Source organism: Homo sapiens, chromosome 2 (genome assembly GCF_000001405.40).
Source record: "Homo sapiens chromosome 2, GRCh38.p14 Primary Assembly".
Classification (NCBI taxonomy): domain Eukaryota; kingdom Metazoa; phylum Chordata; class Mammalia; order Primates; family Hominidae; genus Homo; species Homo sapiens.
The window spans coordinates 175662173-175685593 of record NC_000002.12 but is presented as its reverse complement, the minus strand read 5'-3'; the positions used below and the strand labels follow the sequence as shown (position 1 = coordinate 175685593).

Genomic DNA, 23421 nt, shown 5'->3' with positions numbered 1-23421 from the left:
AGACTGTTTTAGAGGAGCAAGACCAGTGTTCTTCAAGTAGATAGTGAACATTTAGGAGAGCACCTGTCTGGATGCTTGACATATAGACTATAAATACAGCAGAGGGATTGGTGGGGTCTGAAGTAGTTTGAGGAAAGCCTTATGGAACAAATAAGCCTTGAGCTCGACTTTAAAGGATGGCTGGTATTTTGAGGCCAATGACAAACCATTTAATGTAGAACAGCATGAGCAAAGGAAGAAAGGTAAGACTTCATTCATTTATTCGTTAATACATCCATCCACTTAACAAATATTGAACACCTACTGAATTAGATAATTATAGGAAATAAAGGTAAGGCACAGTTCCCTGAACTAAAAGAATTTACAGTCTGGAAGATGGAATACAGCAAGCATAGAAATAACTGTGTTACAAGGGAAAAATCTAACTGTTCTGAGCAAAATCTAAAGAACCATTGGAGAAGGATGAATGCCACTAGGGGGTTTCAAAATGCTTAATGTAGGAGACACATTTCAGCAGGACATTGTTGGAAGGAAATAATATGGGCAGGTATAAGGCACCCTCAAGACCACACTTTTGGTTTGGTTGTCACACCTCAAAAAGAGGAGGGAAGCAGTATAGGCAAAGTCAGGGAGGTCGGGACATATGCTGTATGTTTGGAAAACATGTTTACCTTGAATAAAGCATTCATTGAATTGGGAAAACTTTGAAAGGTGAATGAGGGCCACTATAGATGCCCTTAACTGGCATAAAAGGAGAATCATGGATTTTCCTTAATGTGGTATTTCAGAATAGGAAAGCATTCGAGGTGGCATCTCTAGCAACGAGGAGACTTTACAGGCTGCTGCAATAATGCGGGAGAGAGCTATTGAAAGACTCTTGTTGGTATGTAGCTCAAGGAATTCACACGGTGAGCAAGAGAGGGTGGGTAGTGAAGGAGGAGCCATGGGAATTTCTAACTCATGTCCACCTGATGGAGCCAGAGGTGGGACATGACTCATGGATCACTTTCTAAAGGAGACACCATTTTTATTCACCAGGAAGGAAGTGGATATATCATTATGATGATGGATTTCTATGTTGCCTCTGCCACTCTTCCTCTAAAGAAACATTCTGAACCTGCACCTTACTTCAGAAGGACAGGCCATGTATACTAGCTGTACCATTTATTTCCCCATAACACATTTTAGTATCTCCTCACTCAGACTAGTGTTTGCCATACAACACCTGGTGTATAAAGTCAGATCATTTCTATAACTCTTTGGCCTTTAAAACACACTCTTACTCTGCCAAGGGTCAAGGCCATTTCCGTGAGTAGGGCTTAAAGCTATCACTATATGGGCTCCTCTCCTCTCTCTGACTTAGGAAAGGGCTGTTCTTTCACTTTTTAAAGTGGAATCTCCTACATTGCCTTATGCAATCTCCGTATCTGAGAAGTAAATTGAGAGGATATTATTTCTGTTTTCCAGATGAGACTCAGAGGAGATAAACACCTGGATAAAGATAGCTAGTAAAAGATGACTCCAATATTAAAACCAGTTTTTCCACCTCAAGGGGGTGTCAATGTTCAAGAGAGCCCTGAGTGAAAGGTAGCAGGAGCGTTTACTTTCCAAGGAATTTCTACCAGGATCCTCAGTTCAGTTTTATCATTTAGAGGCCACACTCAAGTCAGGTTCAGGTAGAACATTGAAACTTTGAATTTTGCCTTCATTTTGAGAAATATAGTATTTCAATTTCCCATTCAACATTAAATCCGTTCTTTACTCTTACAGAGATTTCTAATGGGGCCAGATTATATTCCATCTCACATTCTTTGCTGGGATACTTTTCTCTCTAGGCAAGTCATATATCATTTCTGCATAATTCCTCTACTTAGGAGCAGTTGTCTCATTACATTCTAAGTCACGGAAGACCTTAAATGTCAGAACTCATCCCAGCAATAAAAACTAGGCACTTGGCTTGCTCATCGGTATACCCAAGTTCTATTTAAGGCCTCAAGGCCATTGATCTACTACGCTAACTCTAGAAGTTTCCAAAGAATCCCAATGGACTTCCAAAATTCAGCAGCTACTTCTTCAATGATGAGGTGAAATTGTTATCAGATTATAGAATTTTGCTGTTGTTTAACATTGTTATGCCTGGTGCCACAAAACTCTCCTTTAACACATGCCAAATTACCTACTGATCAGTTTCTTTCATTCACATTTTGAAGTCTTTAAACTGTGGAAAAGCAAACAGACCCAAACTAGGCAGAAGATATGTGTGCTGAACACCTAGCTGTTTGAATGGGCCTTTACATCATGTTAGGACTGTGCCCGGATTCTCCTTTGGCAACCTTCCCTGTGATGGGGGTGGCAGGTGACGGCAGGGTTGAAAAGACAATCCCCATCTCATGTGAACTCAGAGCTAGTCTGCATTGCTCTCATTAGGCAGCGTCTAAGCTGCCAGAGAAAGACTCAGCTCACACTGGAGCTCTCGTGTTAAATCCTCCACAGTGGGAAAAAAACACGCCTGATGGGGACTAATGACTAATTCTCTACATCATGTCTAATGTATCCCAGGGTGCTAACTTCAGCACACCTGCCTTCACCGCTGGTAAGGTAATGAGACTGCTTGTGAGTTACTGGTCACTGACAACATTTATAATATTCTTCAACCTAATGTTACTGCATAGGTCAGTGTGCAGTGTTCACTAAGAGTGGGTGAATTCTGTCACCTTGGGAGCCTCGGTTTTATGGGTAGTTGGTTGTGGAAGTGGTTCAAAACCCTTTATAAATGAGGTGGATGCATTTGGAAAGGTTCTAGGTGTCCCATGATACTCCATTAAATTTTGTTGCTAATTACATCATCAGGAGGTAATTACAGCACTCTGAGGCCAGAGATTTTAAAATTATAACCATCCAGGAAATTTAGCCCATAAAAAAGGTATGCATTGGCCTGGGTAACTATGATGGTTGAGAGAAAGCGTGGGGGTGGCATGGGGCAAGAGCTGGAAAATCCAGATTGCTTGAGTTTAGTTAGCACCTAAGTCCATTGGTGTGTGTCACCTTCCAGTCTGTGCTATGGGCTTTGAGTGTAGCTGCATAGGGGCACACTTCTCAATTTTAGAGAATCGAAAATTACTTAATTCACTCAGGAATATACATCGAATAAGTATTTTATTTTACTTTCTCAAATCATGCCATTTTTGGTGGGTTTTCAGAAATCTGAGCTGACATTGTATTTAAAGAATGAAAAGAAATGTTAACTTCCTGTGAGCAGCATTTCAAGATAATGTAGAAGTTTTTTGACACAAAATGGCCAAAGATAAATACAACGCAGTGAGACACTCTCCTCAAAAGAACACTTTAGACTTGGTCTCAGCTCTATCTCTCTTTGCATTTCTGCCATGAATGAACTGGAGTGAAGCACTTACTGCCTCCTTTGCTGAGAAGCAGCTGAGCAGAGTGGTTACAAATGTGGACTCTGGAGCTAGAATCCCTTGATTTGCTTTCTGGCTCCTCCAGGATAGGCTTATGTACTAGTTAGGGTAATAATGCTGGTTGCTGTAACAAATACACCCCAAGTTATGTGTACTTTGACACAATAGAATTTTATCTCTCACTCATATAACAATCCAGTGCTGGTGTTCCTGATGAGCAGTCTTCTATGTGGTGATTCAGAGATGGGAATTCTTCTTCTTGTGGCTCTTCTGCCTTCTACAACCTCAGTATCTTCTGCATTCAATCAGCGTTAAGTAGGGAGTGTGGAGAAGGCACAGTCAGTAATTACTGACTTGGGAGACACAGACATCCCTCCCACTGCTTTCTATTGGCAAGGACTAATCACATGCCTTCACCAAGAAGAACGGGAAGCTGAAAAATGTATCCCCTTGTTGGGCAGCTGCTTCTCATAGACAGCTTGATTTTACGGATGATGGTGCAAAAATTTTGGTGAAAAGTTAGCTGTCCTTGCCTCATTTAGGTAAGATACTTCAACTCTCTGCACCTCAGTTCAATTCCCTTGTCTATAATATAGAGATAATAACAATACCTACTTCTAGAGTTGTAAGAATTAAATTAGATAATGTATGGAAAATGTTTGGCATACAGAAAGCACTCAAAAAAAGTTAACTATTATTTCAACTATTTGTGTTGTTATTAATTTTTCCTTGAGTTACTTTTTCTCTACCCAACAGAGATAGTCATAATTAATGTCTCACATTACTCTAATTAAAATAACTGGCCAAACAATATGTGAAAAGGCCCATGTTTATTTTCTGAACAAAGAAAATCTATTTGATGGGATGTAAAACTACGCAGTGTGACGGTCAGGCGGTCCCTGAAGGATGTGAAGCCTGCCGGCAAAATCATGGCCCTGCTCCACTCCTGCTGCATGTTCTATGCACAGAAGGAGGGAAAAGTTTGAATTTTTCAGAGGAGATAACAGAACAGTTCATCATTTCATTATCTGCATGTTATTTTTCAGCATCTATTTCCATACCATATCCATTAGGAATTACAAGGATTTGTCTTTGAATCTATCTATATATGTGTGTACTTAAAGGACTTGAAAAGGGCATTTTCAACCCTTGATGTGATTCGGTTCTATTTCAATAAAACTGCTTCATGAATACCAACCAATTTAGTAAGGTCAATTTTCCTTGCTGCTAAATTCCTCTTTCAGAGTGCAGAAAAATTCTACGGTCACCAATAAGAATCCTGGCAAAGTAAAAAGAAATTAATGAAGATAGTCAAGTTCCCTCCGTTTTATACATGAGGCCATGCTGCTGGTTAGAGAGCTACACTCTCTAAAGGGCTATTTACTTTTATAATAATTTCATAAACTGAGCCCAAGCTAAGTCAAATCACACCACACGTGACCTAACCCAGGTTGGTTGGAAAGCTTGATGTCAGGGCTGTATAGCAGAGTTCTTAAGCAAATGGGCTCTGTTCACAGAATGCCTGAGTTAGAATCTTGGCTCTACTCCTAACTATACCTGCGCAGCCTAGGGCAGGTTACTGAACCTTTCTAAGGCCTTGGTTTTCTCATTTCTAAACTTGGATTTTTTAAAATCCCTCTGTTATAGATTAAATTGAGATAATTTATGTGACATGCTTAGCACAGTGCTTGATGCATAATAACAAGAAGCACTTAATGTGTGCTCTGTTTTAAGAGCTTTTCTTGCATTTACTAATTTAATCCTCATAACAACCATATGAAAAAAAGATACTATAATTATTCCCATTTTACAGGTAAGGAAACTGAGGCCCAGAGGGGTTGAGTAGTCTCCCTAAGATCACATAGCTAGTTACGTGGCAAAGTTAAAATTCAAGCTCATGTACGCTGGCTCCAGAGTCCATGCTCTTAACATCTGTATTATGCTGCTTCTCCCTAAGAACTTACAAATGTCATCCATTATTTACATTTTTATTAAAAGATAGAGGTTCAGAATTCAATGCAGAAATGTTTGATAATATAGTTCTTAAATTGGGAATATTATGGAATAAGGGCCTTGGGAAACTTTGCTCATCAATACTTGAGTTAGTGAATGAATGAATGAGTAAATGAGTGAATAAATGAGAGCAAGTCTTGCATGATTAAAGCCAGAAATGTGTCTTAGAACCATATTCAGGAAATCAGCATTGGTTAGAAGACATGGACATTATACTATTATAATGTCACACTAAGCATAAAATGACAATTCTGATGTATGTACTAGTAGTGTTTTTGAGACATAGGCATCTCCCTGCTGAGTCTCAGACTTCAGGTGGAGGAAGCTTGCCACCCCTTGGGAAGCACCCAACGTGATGATCCTATGTCAGCAACGTGTGTGTAAAGGTGGTTTGCCAAAATCCAGCACTGGCCCATGTAAAACACATTTTTATCTGACTTTTTAAAGCCACATTTGGAGATCCATTAGCACTGTATAGGAGGCCCGAGTGTCCTCTGCATTACGCTAATTGTTTAAGCATGACAGGTTATTACTTCAGTCAGAGGGGTAATGTAGGTTGGGGAAAAAAGTAGGGCACAAACACAATTTTCTAGTTTTTGAGAAGCAATTATAAATAGATGAGAAGCCATAAAAATATTACACGTGGGATGGCTCATCAGTAGGATTGAAAAGGCGACTGGAGCCCATGCAGCCAAGAGGAGTGGTTCAAAGCTGACAAGTCTACAGCAGTGATTCAAAAATAGCAATGATAATTCTGCAGCAAAACAGAACAATGAAACCGAGAGTCACAGCACTCAAAAAAGACATTGGCCCAACACAATGCTCTCTCATTGGATAAGCTATTTTCATAGCAAACCCAAATTTCAAAATGTCAGCCTGATAAATAGGGGAGATTTGAAAGGATACAGTCAAGGTGTTTCGTTTTAATACTTAAAGAAGAAAAAGAAGCCTACTCTTGTTTCTAACAATCTTTTAGAGCTTTAAGGAAAGAGGATGTTGTATTTTGAAAAGAGACCTGGTTGTATCTTGTCTAGAAGCTATTTTAATATATACAACCATTAAGTAGGTTCAGATCATATTATGAGGCTCATTTTTTTCTCTATAATAGGGTGAATATTAGTTAGAACTCAGTAACCACAAAGAGCTATAAAAGTTTAAAACATAATGTCTTACTTTTATTTCCATTTTCTTCTGAGTATAGGTGCCGTCTTGGTATGGTAAAATAAGATAGCATCTACTAGATTCTGGTATAATATATAGCCTGGTAGGGTGGCTATGCACATAGACTTTAGAGTTGCCTTATAGCTCTGAAAACTATCTTTACTGGTTTTCAAAACCATTGGCTGTTAGATTTTGGACAATATTTAGTATCTCCAAGGTTTCCCTTTCTCATTTCTAAAATTAGGATAAATAGCACCAGCTACATAGGGTTATTCTGAGACCTAAATTAATGAATGCAAAGCACTTAGTACGAACTAAATTAATAATGGCTGTCATTGTGATTCCTTTTACTGCCGTTGCCTGCAATCTTGGGCAGGAAGTATGATATTTGGCAAGTCATTTGGCCTTTTTGGCTCTTGACTTTTTCCAAGGAAGGTGTTGGGCTAGGTAGCTCTATCTCTGAGGTCTCTTGAAGTCTTGGGATCTGAAGTGTGTGTGTGTGTGTGTGTGTGGTCATACTTCATAGAAATCTCTGTGTATATCAGAAATCCATGCAAAGTTTTCCAAGAGCAGTGTATTTCATAGGAATCAGAGATTTTCATCTCAATTGTTCCTTCTGTTAGGCAAAGATCCTCCTAAAACTAAACTTCATATTTGAGATTAAAAATGAGATAATAACAGATTTCTAGGATTAGGCAAATTGGCACAGCTGGCAAAAGCAGTTGGACTTTATATACCCCCTTTGTCTTAGAGGTACATTCTTACTTACTAATCATTTAAAAATAAAGGAAAGATATTTCACGCACTGTCTTGTTCTGCTATAAATCCCCAGCTGAAAACATGCCTAGAATTAAATAGTACACAGAGAGGAGCAGAGTGCAGTCCTATCTCAACCTCCTCAGCATTGTTATTTGCTCTGTGATGGGAAAGAGAAAAGCCATCTATAAAGTTCCAAGTGAATTAGCAAGTGGCGCAGCTGCAGGAGTCCAGGGCTGATTTCAGACTATATTTTGACCTTATTATCCCTGCCTTTGCTATTGAGTGTCATTCTAGTCAGTGGGATTACAATGGGGAGTTTAAGGGAGAACAGAAAGAAAATGATACACAGATGCACAAGTAAAGTAGTAAAAGGAAATACTCATGAAAGGCTCAATTAGTCTGGGCACTTAGATGGAAGGGCCAGAGTAGGACTTCTGCCAAGGACAGTAACAGGAGTGCCAGGCCATTCTGCTGGCCAGGTCTTGCAGTTATCACAGAAAACCCAGGATCAATTTTCTATTTGCTATCTTATCATTCTCCACTTATGTTGAGGTAATATTAATTATATTTGGAAATTGTTTTGTTTTAAAGATCTTGAAAAAAATGACACTTATGAAGATGTGGAAGACAGAGAATTAAGCACTCAATAATAAAAACATATTCGTTTTATATGCTACTTAACATTTTACAGTGCATTTCTATCTATTTTATCTCCTCAGGCCCTTACAATTATGCTTTGAAGGTATTCTTAACTCCACCCTATCAGTTGGATGTATTAGGCTGCAAGTAACAGAAAACTCAACTCAAAGTGTCTTTAATAACAAGTACATTTGTCTCTCTTTATCTGCTGTTTTGCTTTCTGAAACAGTGGTTCCAAAATAGGTGAGTACAGTACAATAAGGTATTTGGAGAGAGACAGAGACCACATTCACAGAACTTTTATTACAGTATGTTGTTATAATTGCTCTACTTTATTATCCATTGTTGTTCATCTCTTTTTGTGCCTTATTTATAAATTACATTTTATCATAGGTGTGTATGTATAAGGGACAACATAGGATATTTAGAGTTTGGTACTATCGGTGGTTTCAGGCATCCACTGGAGGGTCTTGGAACATGTTCCTTGCCATTAAGAAGGGACTACTGTGAATGCATTCTTTTAATTCAGAGCTGTGGGAAGATTTCAGTGTTGATCGATTTAGTGGCTCACCATTATCATCAAGACCCCTAGTGTTCTGTCACAAGTGTTGCATGCATCCTCAGGCTGATAGGAAGATGGCTATAGCGGTTCCAGCCATCACAACAAAGCCCAAATACTTCTAGAAGAAAATGAAAGATTATTTCCCCCTCTAGAGCTCTCTATTAGGAGTGAGAATTTTTTTTTTCCAAATGCCCCCCTCAAGTTTCCCTTCATGTCTCATTGGCCAGAATTGCATCTCATTCATGAACTGATCATTGACAAGAGGAATGGGATTACTTTTAGACCAGTCAGGCCCATTTCTGGGGCTGGGAGCAGGGTCAGGTTTCCCTGAGGCATGTGACTGCACGGGACAGAGGTGAAGGGTATTAGAACAGAATGAGGTTCATGTTTAAAAGGAAGACATGGCAATGGACAGGGGCTGGGCAATTCACAGTGTCACTCACTCAATGCACACTAGAGTAAACAGACTCAGAATGGCAAAGAGATTGCCTAAAGTGTGGCAGAGCCATGGTTGCTAAAAGCTGCATTTTAAAATAAAGAGAGTGTAGAATATTTACAGAATATAGAACATTCCAGCTGGAAGGGACTTTAAAGGTCATCAAGCCCAACCCCTTCATCTAACCCAGTACTTCGAGAGCATGGTTCTTGGTATCTCTAGCTCTCCAGTCAAAAGAGCTTACTAATGTATGCCTCTGTTTGAGCTTACCCTCTGAATCTGTTAGTCTTCCCTTTGAAGGGTAATCCATGCATACCACATAAAAATTTTACATGTAGGAGAGTAATGTATACATTCAATGGATAGACTGGTTCCCGACTGCGGGAGTTCAGGGGGGCTTTCAATCTCTGAGGTCTTTCCTACTCCCAAGGGAGGTGAGTAGAGCAGGGAGAGGCAGGAGCATGTCTCCAGTTAAGTAGCAGCCAAGAAAACGGGGGATGTGAATGGGCAGTTCTTCCGTACACGGAGCAGTCTCCCCATCCACCCACAGAGCAGTCTCTCCATCCACGCATGTCTGCACGTCTGACTTGGTAGACCCTGTGACCCCCTTATTTCTTCTCTCTATTTCCTACAGTCCCCTCTGTCTTTTACGGCAGCCCTCCCTTCCCCAGGTTTTGCTTCTCTGTTATTGCTAGGCCCAGGCAGTCAGTTCCATCTAGTTTTCCTTGGTAAACCTAGAGTAGGAGTTGGGAATCAGTTCTACAGGAAGGAGATAAAAAACAGTGACACTGCCTATTTTGCCTGAGGGTGAAGTATCTTCAAGATAAGCAAACTTTTCTCCTGCAAAAATGGACTAACCACATACAGTATAATTCTGGTGTGTTAGTATGCTAGCTGAATCTCTGTCTCTTTGCTGAACCGTATCAAATATTCCTAAGATTGTCCACCTTTTAGCATAATTGGAGAACATCTTAATATTGAAAAAAAAGCCCACTTTTCCCCACCTTATCAAAGACATTTTTATCCAGCTTGGCAGGGGCAAGGGTGGGTGTGCTCCTTATCACCAAGACTGCTGCACACTGTCAGGGCTATTGGTCACAGCATTGTGGCTGGGCCACCACCACTGCCGCAGCCATCTCATCTATCCTTTTGTCCATGGGTCTGTCTCCCCCAATTCAAAGTCTGGGTGGGAGTGTCTGTTTGGCTGCACTGGGTCAAATGTTCTTGCCCTGGTATGTTTGCACACATGTGAAGGGGTTGGGGGTGGGGAAGGTGAAAAAGGAGGACATTCCTGCTTCAGTTTTTGGAGTGGGAAAAGGTGTCCTATCTCTCACCAAGACTAATCCAGTGTAGAATTTGGATGTTGGGGATTCAAATGTTGGACAGCCAACAAATGACAAGTGCCCATGGCATAAATTATCTGAATTTCTAGCGCAGAGTAAAGGCTCATGTGAGACAAAAAGAGAAAAAATAATGTAAAGAGATGCCACCAATTAGCAAAGTAAATGGATTTAGCAAACAAATGTTTCTCAGAACCATTATGGCAGTGGTTCTCAAACATTGAGTGCATCAGAATTAATGAACACTTACTTAAAACAAGTTTGTAAACCTCACCTCAGACTTATTGAATGGGACTCCACTGGAAATAGGGACCAGGAATTCACATTATTTGTAGACTTTGTGGATAATTCCGACATGGTTGGTCTGTAGACCTCCTCTGAGAAACACTGCTATGTGGGTATTGGAAGAGATTATCAGTGTAACAATAAAAATGGCTGAATTTAAATAGGGCATTCAATCTTAAGGATTTTTTAAAATTATACTTTAAGTTCTGGGGCCCATGTGCAGAAGGTGCGAGTTTGTTACATAGGTATACACGTACCATGGTGGTTTGCTGCACCCATTAACATGTCATCTACATTAGGTATTTCTCCTAATGCTATCCCTCCCCTTGCCCCCATCCCCCGACAGGCCCCTGTGTGTGATGTTCCCCTTCCTGTGTCCATGTGTTCTCATTGTTTAACTCCCACTTATGAGTGAGAACATGTGGTGTTTGGCTTTCTGTTCCTGTGTTAGTTTGCTGAGAATGGTGGTTTCCAGCTTCATCCATGTCCCTGCAAAGGACACATACTCCTCCTTTTTATGGCTGCATAGTATTCCACAGTGTATATGTGCCACATTTTCTTTATCCAGTCTATCACCAATGGGCATTTGGGATGGTTCCAACTCTTTGATATTGTGAGTAGTGCTGCAATAAACATACGTTTGTATGTGTCTTTATAGTAGAACAATTTATAATCCTTTGTGTATGTACCCAGTAATGGGATAGCTGGGTCAAATGGTGTTTCTAGTTCTAGATCCTTGAGGAATCTCCACACTGTCTTCCACAATGGTTGAACTAATTTACACTCCCACCAACAGTGTAAAAGCATTCCTATTTCTCCACATCCTCTCCAGCATCTGTTGTTTCCTGACTTTTTAATGATCGTCATTCTAACCGGCATGAGATGGTATCTCATTGTGGTTTTGATTTGCATTTCTGTAATGACCAGTGATGATGAGCTTTTTTTCATATGTTTATTGGCCACATAAATGTCTTCTTTTGAGAAGTGTCTGTTTATACCCTTTGCCCACTTTTTGATGGAGTTGTTTGTTTTTTTCCTGTAAATTTGTTAAAGTTCCTTGTAGATGCTGGATATTTGCCCTTTGTCAGATGGATAGATTGCAAAAATTTTCTCCCATTCTGTAGGTTGCCTGTTCACTCTGATGATAGTTTCTTTTGCTGTGCAGAAGCTCTTTAGTTTAATTAGATCCCATTTGTAAATTTTGGCTTTTGTTTCCATTGCTTTTGGTGTTTTACTCATAAAGTCTTTGCCCATGCCTATGTCCTGAATAATATTGCCTAGGTTTTCTTCTAGGGTTTTTATGGTTTTAGGTTTTATGTATAAGTCTTTAATCCATCTTGAGTTAATTTCTGTATAAGGTGTAAGGAAGGGGTCCAGTTTCAGTTTTCTGTATATGGCTAGCCAGTTTTCCCAACACCATTTATTAAATAGGGAATCCTTTCTGCATTGCTTGTTTTTATCAGGTTTGTGAAAGATCAGATGGTTGTAGATGTGTGGCGTTATTTATGAGGCCTCTGTTCTGTTCCATTGGTCTATATATGTGTTTTGGTACCAGTACCATGCTGTTTTGGTTACTGTAGCCTTGTAGTATAGTTTGAAGTCAGGTAGCGTGATCCCTCCAGCTTTGTTCTTTTCGATTAGGATTATCTTGGCTATACAGTCTCTTTTTTGGTTCCATGAGAAATTTAAAGTAGTTTTTTCTAATTCTGTGAAGAAAGTCAATGGTAGCTTGATGGGGATAGCATTGAATCTATAAATCACTTTTGGCAGTATGGCCATTTTCACAATATTGATTCTCCTATCCATGAGCATAGAATGTTTTTCCATTTGTTGGTGTCCTCTCTTATTTCCTTGAGCAGTGATTTGTAGTTCTCCTTAAAGAGGTCATTTACATCCCTTCTAAGTGGTATTCCTTGGTTTTTTATTGTCTTTGTAGCAATTGTGAATGGGAGTTTGCTCATGATTTGGCTCTCTGTTTGTCTATTACTGGTATATAGGAATGCTTGTGATTTTTGCACATTGATTTTGTATCCTGAGACTTTGCTGAAGTTGCTTATCAGCTTAAGGAGTTTTTGAGCTGAGATGATGCGGTTTTCTAAATACACAATCATGTCTTCTGCAAACAGAGACAATTTGAATTCCTCTCTTCATATTTGAATACTCTTTATTTCTTTCTCTTGCCTGATTGCCCTGGCCAGAACTTCCAGTGCTATGTTCAATAGGAGTGGTGAGAGAGGGCATCCCTGTCTTGTGTTGGTTTTCAAAGGGAATGCTTCTAGCTTTTGCCCATTCAGTATGATATTGGCTGTGGGTTTTTCATAAATAGCCTTATTATTTTGAGATGTGTTCCATCAATATCTAGTTTATTGAGAGTTTTTAGCCTGAAGGGTGTTGAATTTTATCGAAGGCCTTTTCTACATCTGTTGAGATAATTTTGTGGTTTTTGTGCTTGGTTCTGTTTATGTGATGGATTATGTTTATTGATTTGGGTGTGTTGAACCAGCCTTGCATCCCAGGGATGAAGCCGAGTTGATCGTGGTGGATAAGCTTTTTAACGTGCTGCTGGATTCAGTTTGCTAGTATTTTATTGAGGATTTTCACATTGATATTCATCAGGGATATTGGCCTAAAATTTTCTTTTTTCTGTTGGGTCTCTGACAGGTTTTGGTATCAGCATGATGCTGGCCTCATAAAATGAATTAGGGAGGAGTCCCTGGTTTTCTGCTGTTTGGAATAGTTTCAGAAGGAATGGTACCAAATCCTCTTTGTATCTCTGGTAGAATTTGGCTGTGAATCAGTCTGGTCCTGGGATTTTTTTTGTCGGTAGGCTATTAATTACTGCCTCAGCTTCAGAACTTGTTATTGGTCTATTCAGGGATTTGACTTCTTCCTGGTTTAGTCTTAGGAGGGTGTATGTGTCCAGGAATTTATACATTTCTTTTAGATTTTCTAGTTTATTTGTGTAGAGGTGTTTATAGTATTCTCTGATGGTAGTTCATATTTCTGTGGGATCAGTGGTGATATCACCTTTATCATTTTCTATTGTGTCTATTTGATTCTTCTCTTTTTTTCTTCTTTATTAATCTGGCTAGTGGTCTATTTTGTTAATCTTTTCAAAAAATCCAGCTCTTGGATTCATTGAGTTTTTGAAGGGTTTTTCATATCTGTCTCCTTCAGTTCTGCTCTGATCTTAGTTATTTCTTGTCTTCTGTTAGCTTTTGAATGGGTTTGCTCTTGCTTCTCTAGTTCTTTCAATTGTGATGTAAGGGGGTCGATTGTAAATCGTTCCCACTTTCTCCTGTGGGCATTTAGTTCTATAAATTTCCCTCTAAACACTCCTTTAGCTGTGTCGCAGAGACTCTGGTACATTGTGTCTTTGTTCTGACTGGTTTCAAAGAACTTATTTATTTCTGCCTTAATTTTCTTATTTACCCAGTAGTCATTCAGGAGCGAGTTGTTCAGTTTCCATGTAGTTGTGCGGTTTTGAGTGAGGTTTTTTTTTTTGTTTTGTTTTGTTTTGTTTTGTTTTTTGAGACGGAGTCTAGCTCTGTCACCCAGGCTAGAGTGCAGTGGCACAATCTTGGCTCACTGCAAGCTCCTCTTCCCAGGTTGACGCCATTCTCCTGCCTCAGCCTCCCGAGTAGCTGGGACTACAGGCGTCCGCCACCACACCTGGCTAATTTTTTTGTATTTTTAGTAGAGATGGGGTTTCACCGTGTGTTAGCCAGGATGGTCTCAATCTCCTGACCTCGTGATCCACCCGCCTCAGGCTCCCAGTGCTGGGATTATAGGTTTGGGCCACCGCACCAGGCCTTGAGTGAGTTTCTTAATCCTGAGTTCTAATTTGATTGCACTCTGGTCTGAGAGACTGTTTGTTATGATTTCCATTGTTTTGCATTTTCTGAGGAGTATTTTACTTCCAATTATGTGGTCCATTTTAGAATAAGTGTGATGTGGTGCTGAGAAGAATGTACATTCTGTTGATTTGGGGTGGAGAGTTCTGTAGATGTCTATTATGTCTGCTTGGTTGACGGCTGAGTTCAAGTCCTGAATATCCTTGTTAATTTTCTGTCTCGTTGATCTGTCTAATATTAACAGTTGGGTGTTACAGTCTCCCACTATTATTGTATGGGAGTCTAAGTCTCTTTGTAGGTCTCTAAGAATTTGCTTTATGAATGTGGGTGCTTCTGTATTGGGTGCATATATATTTAGGATAGTTATCTCTTCTTGTTGCATTGATCCCTTTACCATTATATAATGCCCTTCTTTGTCTTTTTTTATTTTGTTGGTTTAAAGTCTGTTTTATCAGAGACTAGGATTGAAACCCGTGCTTTTTTTTTTTCTTTACATTTGCTTGGTAAATCTTCCTCCATCCCTTTATTTTGAGCCTATGTGTGTCTTTGCATGTGAGATGGGTCCTGAATACAGCACATCGATGGGTCTTGACTCTATCCAATTTACCAGTCTGTGTCTTCTAATTCGGGCATTTAGCCCATTTACATTTAAGGTTAATGTTGCTATCTGTGAATTTAATCCTGTCATTATGATGCTAGCTGGTTATTTTGCCTGTTAGTTGATGCAGCTTCTTCATAGGGTGAATGGTTTTTACAATTTGGTATGTTTTTGCAGTGCCTGGTACTGGTTTTTCCTTTCCATATTTAGTGCTTCCTTCAAGAGTTCTTATAAGGCAGGCTTGGTGGAGACAAAATCTCTCAGCATTTGCTTGTCTGTAAAGGATTATATTTATCCTTTGCTTATGGAGCTTAGTTTGGCTGGATATGAAATTCTGGGCTGAAAATTGTTTTTTTAAGAATGTTGAATATTGGCTCCCACTCTCTTCTGGCTTGTAGGTTTTCTGCAGAGAGATCCGTTGTTAGTTTGATGGGCTTCCCTTTGTGGGTAACCCGACCTTTCTCTCTGACTGTCCTTAACATTTTTTCCTTCATTTTAACCTTGGTGAATCTGATGATTATGTGTCTTGGGGTTGCTATTCTCGAGGAGTACCTTTGCAGTATTCTCTGTATTTCCTGAATTAGAATGTTGGCCTGTCTTGCTAGGTTGGGGAAGTTCTCCTGGATAATATCCTGAAGTGTGTTTTCCATCTTGGTTCCATTCTCCCTGTCATTGTCAGGTACACCAATCAAACATAGGTTTGGTCTTTTCACATAGTCTCATATTTCTTGGAGGCTTTGTTTGTTCCTTTTCATTCCTTTTTCTCTAATCTTGTCTTCACACTTTATTTCATTAAGTTGATCTTCAATCTCTGATATCCTTTCTTCCACTTGATTGATTTGGCTATTGATACTTGTGTATGCTTCATGAAGTTCTCATGCTGTATTTTTCAGCTCCATCAGGTCATTTATATTCTTCTCTAAGTTGGTTATTCTAGTTAGCAATTCCTCTAACCCTTTTCAAGGTTCTTAGCTCCTTGCATTGGGTAAGAACATGCTCCTTTAGCTTGGAGGAGTTTGTTATGCCCACCCTCTGAAGCCTACTTCTGTCATTTCATCAAACTTATTCTCCGTCCAGTTTTGTTCCCTTGCTGGCAACGAGTTGTGATCCTTTGGAGGAGAAGAGACATTCTGTTTTTTGGAATTTTCAGCCTTTTTGCACTGATTTTTCCTCATCTTCATGGATTTGTCTACCTTTGGTCTTTGATGTTGGTAACATTCATATGGAGTTTTTGTGTGGACATCATTTTTGTTGATGTTGATGCTATTCCTTTCTGTTTGTTAGTTTTCTTTCTAACAGTCAGGCCCCTCTGCTGCAGGTCTGCTGGAGTTTGCTGGAGGTCCACTGCAGACCTTCTTTGCCTGGATATCACCAGTGGAGGCTGCAGAACAGAAAAGATTGCTGCCTGTTCCTTCCTCTGGATGCTTCGTCCCAGAGGGGCACTGGCCAGATGCCAGCTGGAGCTCTCCTGTATGAGGTGTCTGTCGACCCCTGCTGGGAGGTGTCTCCCTGTCAGGACGCACGGGGGTCAGGGAGCCACATGAGGAGGCAGTCTGTCCCTTAGCAGAGCTTGAGCACTGTGCTGGATTATCTGCTGCTCTCTTCAGAGCCGGCAGGCAGGAACGTTTACGTCTGCTGAAGCTGCACCCTCAGCTGCCCCTTCCCCCAGGTGCTCTGTCCCTGGGAGATGGGAGTTTTATCTATAATCCCCTGTCTGCCTTTCTTTCAGAGATGACTTGCCCAGAGAGGAGGAATCTAGAGAGGCAGTCTGGCTACAGCGGCTTTGTGGAGCTGCAGTGGGCTCACCCAGTTTGAATTTCCCAGAGGCTTCGTTTATACTGTGATGGGGAAAACCACCTACTCAAGCCTCAGTAATGGTGGACACCCCTCCCTCCACCAAGCTTGAGAATCCCAGGTTGACTTCAGACTGCTGTGCTGGCAGCGAGAATTTCAAGCCAGTGGATCTTAGCTTGCTGGACTCATGGGCATGGGATCTGCTGAGCTAGACCACTTGGTTCCCTCGCTTCAGCTCCCATTCCAGGGGAGTGAACGGTTCTGTCTCGCTGGTGCTCCAGGTGCCACTGGGGTATGCAAATAAACTCCTGCACGTAGCTGGGTGTCTGACCAAATGGCCGCCCAGTTTTGTGCTTGAAACCCAGGGCCCTGGTGGTGTAGGCACCAGAAGGAATCTCCTGGTCTGCAGGTTGCGAAGACTTCAGGAAAAGTGTAGTATCTGGGCTGGGATGCACCATCCCTCATGGCACAGTCCCTCATGGCTTCTCTTGTCTAGGGGAGGGAGTTCCCGGACCCCTTTCACTTTCTGGGTGAGGTGATTCCCCATTCTCCTTCAGCTCGCTTTCCATGGGCTGTGTCCACTGTCTAATCAGTCCCAATAAGATGAGCCAGGTATGTCAATTGGAAATGCAGAAATCACCCGCCTTCTGCATTGATCTTGCTGGGAGCTGCAGACCAGAGCTGTTCCTATTCGGCCATTTTGCCAGCTACCTATTCAGTATTTTACCCAGATTATCTCATTTCAACTTCACAATAACCCTAGCAGGTAGTTCTCTTGTGTCCATTTTACAAGTAGGCTAAATGCTGCACAGAAGTGTTAAGTAATTTGCCTGAGGTCACAGAGTGAGTAAGAAGTAGGCACAGGATTTGCATTTCACACTGATCCCAAGCCCACATGTTTATGCCTGAGCAGAGGGCTTCCTGGTAAGGACTAAGAATTCAAATACTGATGTTTGCAGACCTGGGTCTCACTGAACTTTGTAGATCCTAGGGATCGGTCCCATGGAGAACACAGAGACAGAAAAATGATAATCATATCCAAAGAGGATGGGAAACTTGAAGATGAAAACACTAATGTGATCTCAAGGGCTACTATATTGTGGCTTAATGTCTATAAACATTCTAAAATTTGGTTCAATAATCTTGAAATCAGAAAAGAGGGGATAAATTTTGTATGGCATTAGCAAATTATATTGTCTTGGTTTCCTTATTTTCATGGGAGTAAAATTAGCTAAGATCTAGAATTTATCCCAGATTCAACTAATAGCAACCTTCAGACAACCAGATTTATTCTCTCTGCTCTTTTCTGGGGTGGGGGTGTGTATGTTAGGGGGCAAGGGGTGATGACAGATGATAAAATAATAGCCAAAGTGTACGAATATTTTTTAAACTACCTTCTAGGGCATGTTCTCAGATTAGTGCTCACTGAGCCCAATATCCGATATGTTCTTTATTTGTGTGGAAATACCACCCAGTGGGACCTGACATTTTGGAAAGATGATCCTGTGGCCCTGCAAATCACAAGTCACATGAAAAGTGTGTATGCACTGCACTGAACTTGTTAAGGAATGAAGACAGCTTGAAACACAAAGATCTGATTTTAGTTGAACAGAAAATTCAATTAACCAGGGAATCCTTTTTGTTGAAAATTCACCTTTTCCCCTAAATATAGTGGTTTATGTATCAGTGTAGGAGGAGGTTGGGGGGAGTTTTAGGGAACAGGGATGGGAGGAGGTCAGTCTCTAATGCATACACTATTGAAAGGAAAGGTGTAATCAAGTGTTCTATGTGTAACAAAAGCTATAAGTCACCTGAATGAGTTTGGATTCAACATAATGAAAAACAGGAGAGTTTCAGAAAAAGAAGAGTAGCATCTGCCCATCTGAGTGGTGGGTCCCATCAGGAGGCAGAGAGATATACAAAAGTCTGCTTGTATCCATGATCCTTTGATCCTTTATTTTTATAGGGGATAAGACAGTAACTTTTCTACTGACCCACAGAAAGATTTCTAAGAGAAGCCCAGAAACAGCCCTGGATTATGGTGAATTTATAAAGTAGGCAGAAAGCATATATAAAGATGATTCCTTTCATTTTGCTTTATTTATCACTTTCTATAAAAAACTTTATGAAAGCAAATATTATCTTTTCTTTTTCATCCTACATCCTTACAGAAGAGATACTGTAAATATTGTATAATAGGCGTAGAGTTAGGGGAATCTACTTGGCGCTCTCAGCTAGGACCATATAGAGGGATCAGAGGCACAATTGAAAGGTCCTTTGCTGCCCTCCCATCTGTATCTTCTTTATTAAATAACTCTACCTTTCATTAATCATCCGTCATTAGCAATGTGGCCTGAAACTCTTTTCTGCTTTTCCCACCCCATCCCATCCCCATCGTCATTGTAAATAACATCTTAGTCAAGAAAAATGATTTTGAAAATTTCATCCCTTTTAAGTGAAATTGTAGAAACAAGTAATTTCACTGTAGAAGTAAAGTTTCTGTTTGAAGGGAGGAAAAAAAAGAAAGAAAAACATGACAGACATTTTTCATGTGGCATGTGCTGTGTGCTTGTCCTCCATTTGCAAGGCGTGTTGTGTGTGTCTCAGAGCCTCCATTGGATTTTCCCATCTGTCTCATTGGGAGTTTTTGAGACTTGGGAGAGAAAGAGACTTGCTGACCTTTAAAAAGCCGCTGATCCATTTGTAGCATCTACCGTCGACTTTGCGGTGACTTCAGTATTTCAGTGGAGGTTTTTAATAGAAAAGAGGTTCATGAGCCACACATTTTATTTCTCCTTGGCCATTGGGAATTACCATATTTGACCAGAGGTGTTATAAATGTTCTTCAGTGTCACTTTACTACATGGCAGTCAAATAACAGCACTTTTTCTGAGTAGGGCAGAAAATGGTAGCAGTGTAGGAACTAGCTGATACGGAACAAAAGAGGTAGTAAAAAACTAGTTTTTCTGTGGAGTTAAAATAGACAAGTGAGTCTATGAATTCATGGCCTTTTACAATCTACAAATGGCTGGCTTTCACCTGAGAAGGGACAGTGAAGGGCAATACTGGAATAAAGGGTGTTCATGTCTTCTTGGCTAGGATAAAAGCTGCTCCATTCCTGTATTAGAAAATTTGGAACATTTCCCTTAAGGTTTTCTTTTAGTGTCCTGGTTTCAATTAAATAACATGGAGGATTTTCATGGTGTTCCAAGAAGTGCAAACAGGATAGTAAAATGCAACTGTTCCCTGTTGGGGCCTTCATGCCCCTTCCAACTAGCTGAAGTAGGGTCCCTTGATGATTATAGATGGGATATCCAGAGCTTCTGAATAATTGCAAAGATAATGTCAGAAAAAGCCTTTAACTAGAACTAGGATGGTGGAATGTTGTAATTATCCAAGGGAGATAAGATCAGAGCCTAGCCCAAGGAATAAAGACAAAGGGAAATATCAGAAAGATAGCATGGAGGTACCATTGGCAGTATTCTCAATGCTGAGAGGAGGAGGTGAAAGAGGTAGCAATAATTCTGATATTTTAATTTTTTTACTGAGAGTCTACAATTCGGCAGCATTGCCAAGTACAGTGGGTAAAACAAGATGAATTTGCTGTTTGTTAGCAATTATGATTTACTTTGAGCCAGTCTTGAAAACAAAATGGTGCATACACATAAACCAATGAGGACAAAAAGAGACCAAGCAGATCCATGTGTCAGCAGTGTCTGTTTCTAGAGCTACTTGTGGCTTCTACAGAGTGGGTAATTTATGAAGTGCCTGGAATGGGATTGAAAAACATACCTAGCCACAGATATAGTTAAGTAGCACAGTATATTTTGAAAAACGCTTCCCAAATGATTTGGCAAATCCACAAAAAAAAAGTAGTGAAAAAGGACTAAGCAACATACATTGATTGGCCAAAACATGATTGAATGTATTCAGCCAGTGCATAATTATGTTATAAGCAAGGTAAGAAAGACCTCAGTGCATAAATGTCTTCTGAAAATTGTATCATTTTGAATTCAGGTTATTTTTTTAAAATCCCAACAACTTTTACTACATTGCCAGGGGAAAAAGTATTCTTCAACTTTGTTCACCCACTTGTAAAAGATACCAACCACTATGTAAAGGATACTAACTTTACATAATAAAAAATTAGCTACGTGAAAGTTCCAGTGTATTTCTTAGCGTAGTTAGTACTTTATAAATGTGAATGTGTTGAATCCAGAATTAAGTGATATTTCCACACAGTTTGAGTTTTATTGCTAAGCTACTTTATCCTTTCAGTTGAATTTGTATATATTCCCCTGTAATGACCTTCATCCCTCTTCTACACTTCTTAAAAGAATTGTGTAACTTTGTCATATCTGTTTTCTCACTTTCTTCAAATTACCTGGCTTTGCCCCCGCAAACCCTCCACTCAAACTAACCTAGAAAAGGTTTCTAATTGTCAAATTCAATAGCCTTTTCAATTCTCATTTTACCATATCTCACTGAAATATTTGACACCACTTTTTCTTTCTTGCATCTCTATCCACCTTTGACTTCCTGGACCTATCCCTTTCTCAATTTCCCTCCAATCTTTTAGAATGACTCTTTCTCAGTTTCCTCTGAAGACTGGACTTCCTTTCTCTAGCCCTATAAATGCTGTAGTTTCTTATGACTCTATCCTCCCACCCTCTGTCCTGTTCTATTTCCACTCATTGCACTCTATTTTAGTACAGAAACACATGGATGGCTTCTACTACCACCTAGTCAGTGATTCCAGATCTGTATGTACAAATAAGTCATCTCTCTGGAGCTAGCGGAGTGATGCTAACTCCCTGTGAACACTCCACTGGGGTGCCCTGGGCAGCACAACATTATCACATCCAGAACTGAGCTCATTTTGATCTATTCCCATGACTTAACGCTAATACATAAGTCTTACGAAGGCCTTTAAAATGTAAGCCTTTCTTACCTCTCTGGAGTTATTTTAGTCCCCATGTAAGTACTAGAGTCCCCCAAATTTTCTCACACACACACATGCGCACACATGCACACACACATTCCTGCTGCTCCCTCTGCTTGGAACTCTCTCTCCCTTTACCTTTACCACTTTCTTAGTCTAGTTCTACTGATTTGGCCCAGACATCATTTCCTCAAGAAGGCTCCTCCATTACTCTTCCCAGCCTGTTTTAGGTGTCCCTCTTAAGTGCTTCTTGTTTGCTCTGTGCTTAAGGTCTTTATTTGTTCCACACGTAAAATATTTCTTGTTTCTTTATCTGGGTTCTCCACTAGACTGTGAGCTCCTCCAGGGCAGGGGCATGATAGGGGCCATTTAAATGAATAGTTTGCCTTCTAATTCCTCCCTACCCTGCTGCCAATTTCATGTCTAGTCAATAGAAGCAAAAGTTTGAACTAACAGGATTTAATGGTTTGACTGAGGTTGATCTTAGAATTAATTTGCCTATTTTCCCTTTTTCTTTCTCCTCCTATGTGCACGTGTGTGTGGAGGGTTGAGTGACTTCATTTGAAATGGGAGAAACCTGCTTAAGGGTAACCCTCCCCTCCAAGAGGAGAAGGAAGAGAATACGGCAGTGTTCTAGGTACTCTTATAAGTCTTCTGTACAAAGCGCTAAAAATCTAGCAACATGCTCCACACATTGTTAGTGTCCTTTGGAAAAGCTTTCCTGTACCCAAAGCCTCAACTGAGCCATTTAATGTTCAGATCTTCACACCATCACTTAAAAGACTTCCATGAGGCTGGAGATGCCCAGCTTCTTTAATGGGCCACAGAGAACTCTCTTCTACTTCTTTGGCTTCGTCTCTTATGACCATTTTGCCTTTTCCTTGGCATGCTAAAGAGCTTGTTCTACTTCTCAATAACTCAAATTATGTCTCACCTCCAAACCTCTGCTCCAGCTATTTTCTCTGCCCCGATTGTCCTCCCTTTCTTCCTGAAAATGCGAACTCCACCCATTGCTTCAGGCCTTTGAAACTTGACCGGAGTCTTCCTTCTCCCAGAACTCTTCTTTCAGAACCCCACTGGTGGGGCTGGCTGTGGCTCCTCCATATTTCCCTAATACCCTTGGCTCTCTTGTCACACTTCCCTCAGCATTAAATAACTCATCTGCCACTGGGTCAGCTCCTCCAAAAGCAGGGACTGATCTTGTTCATCTTTGAATGCTCATAATGCCTGGCATATGGAAGGTGCTGAAAAATATTTTGCTGAATTAACGAATAATGAAATATTGAATGGTAATGCACTCAGAAGTGTGCAGATTACTTTACTGCACAAATTTTGCTTGACTCACTGCCAGAAAGTCTGCCACATCCTGAATGAGGCAGATGTTATTGACTCAGGTAAGAGTTTGAAGTTGCATCTCAGGAACTAGCCCAATGTTGGAGGAGGAGGTAAGACAGATAATCTCTTTATTTAAGCAGAAAGTTGTGTTTAATAACTGTGAATATCTCCCAGTTTTTAGCGCAGCCAGAGCTTCCTGTCATGCCATATCACTTCACAGAGAGACCTGGGGTGCTCACTTAGGCTCCAGAAAGTTATCATGTGCCTGGAGAATAACCTGACAT

The 23421-nt window shown here is 40.3% G+C and overlaps 1 long non-coding RNA gene across 1 annotated transcript in view, besides 1 other annotated feature; it reads left to right on the top strand.

Moving 5' to 3' along the window:
* The window catches only part of LOC107985962 (uncharacterized), a 243604-nt gene that overhangs the window by 153445 nt on the left and 66738 nt on the right, over window positions 1-23421 (top strand). The gene's annotated exons all lie outside the window — the stretch shown is intronic.
* Window positions 759-1053: a silencer, noted in NCBI's record as "tiled region #1697; K562 Repressive non-DNase unmatched - State 13:Ctcf". NCBI's record gives its function as "represses a minimal TATA promoter and a strong SV40 promoter by Sharpr-MPRA in K562 cells {active_cell/tissue: K562}" and the evidence as "EXISTENCE:reporter gene assay evidence [ECO:0000049][PMID:27701403]".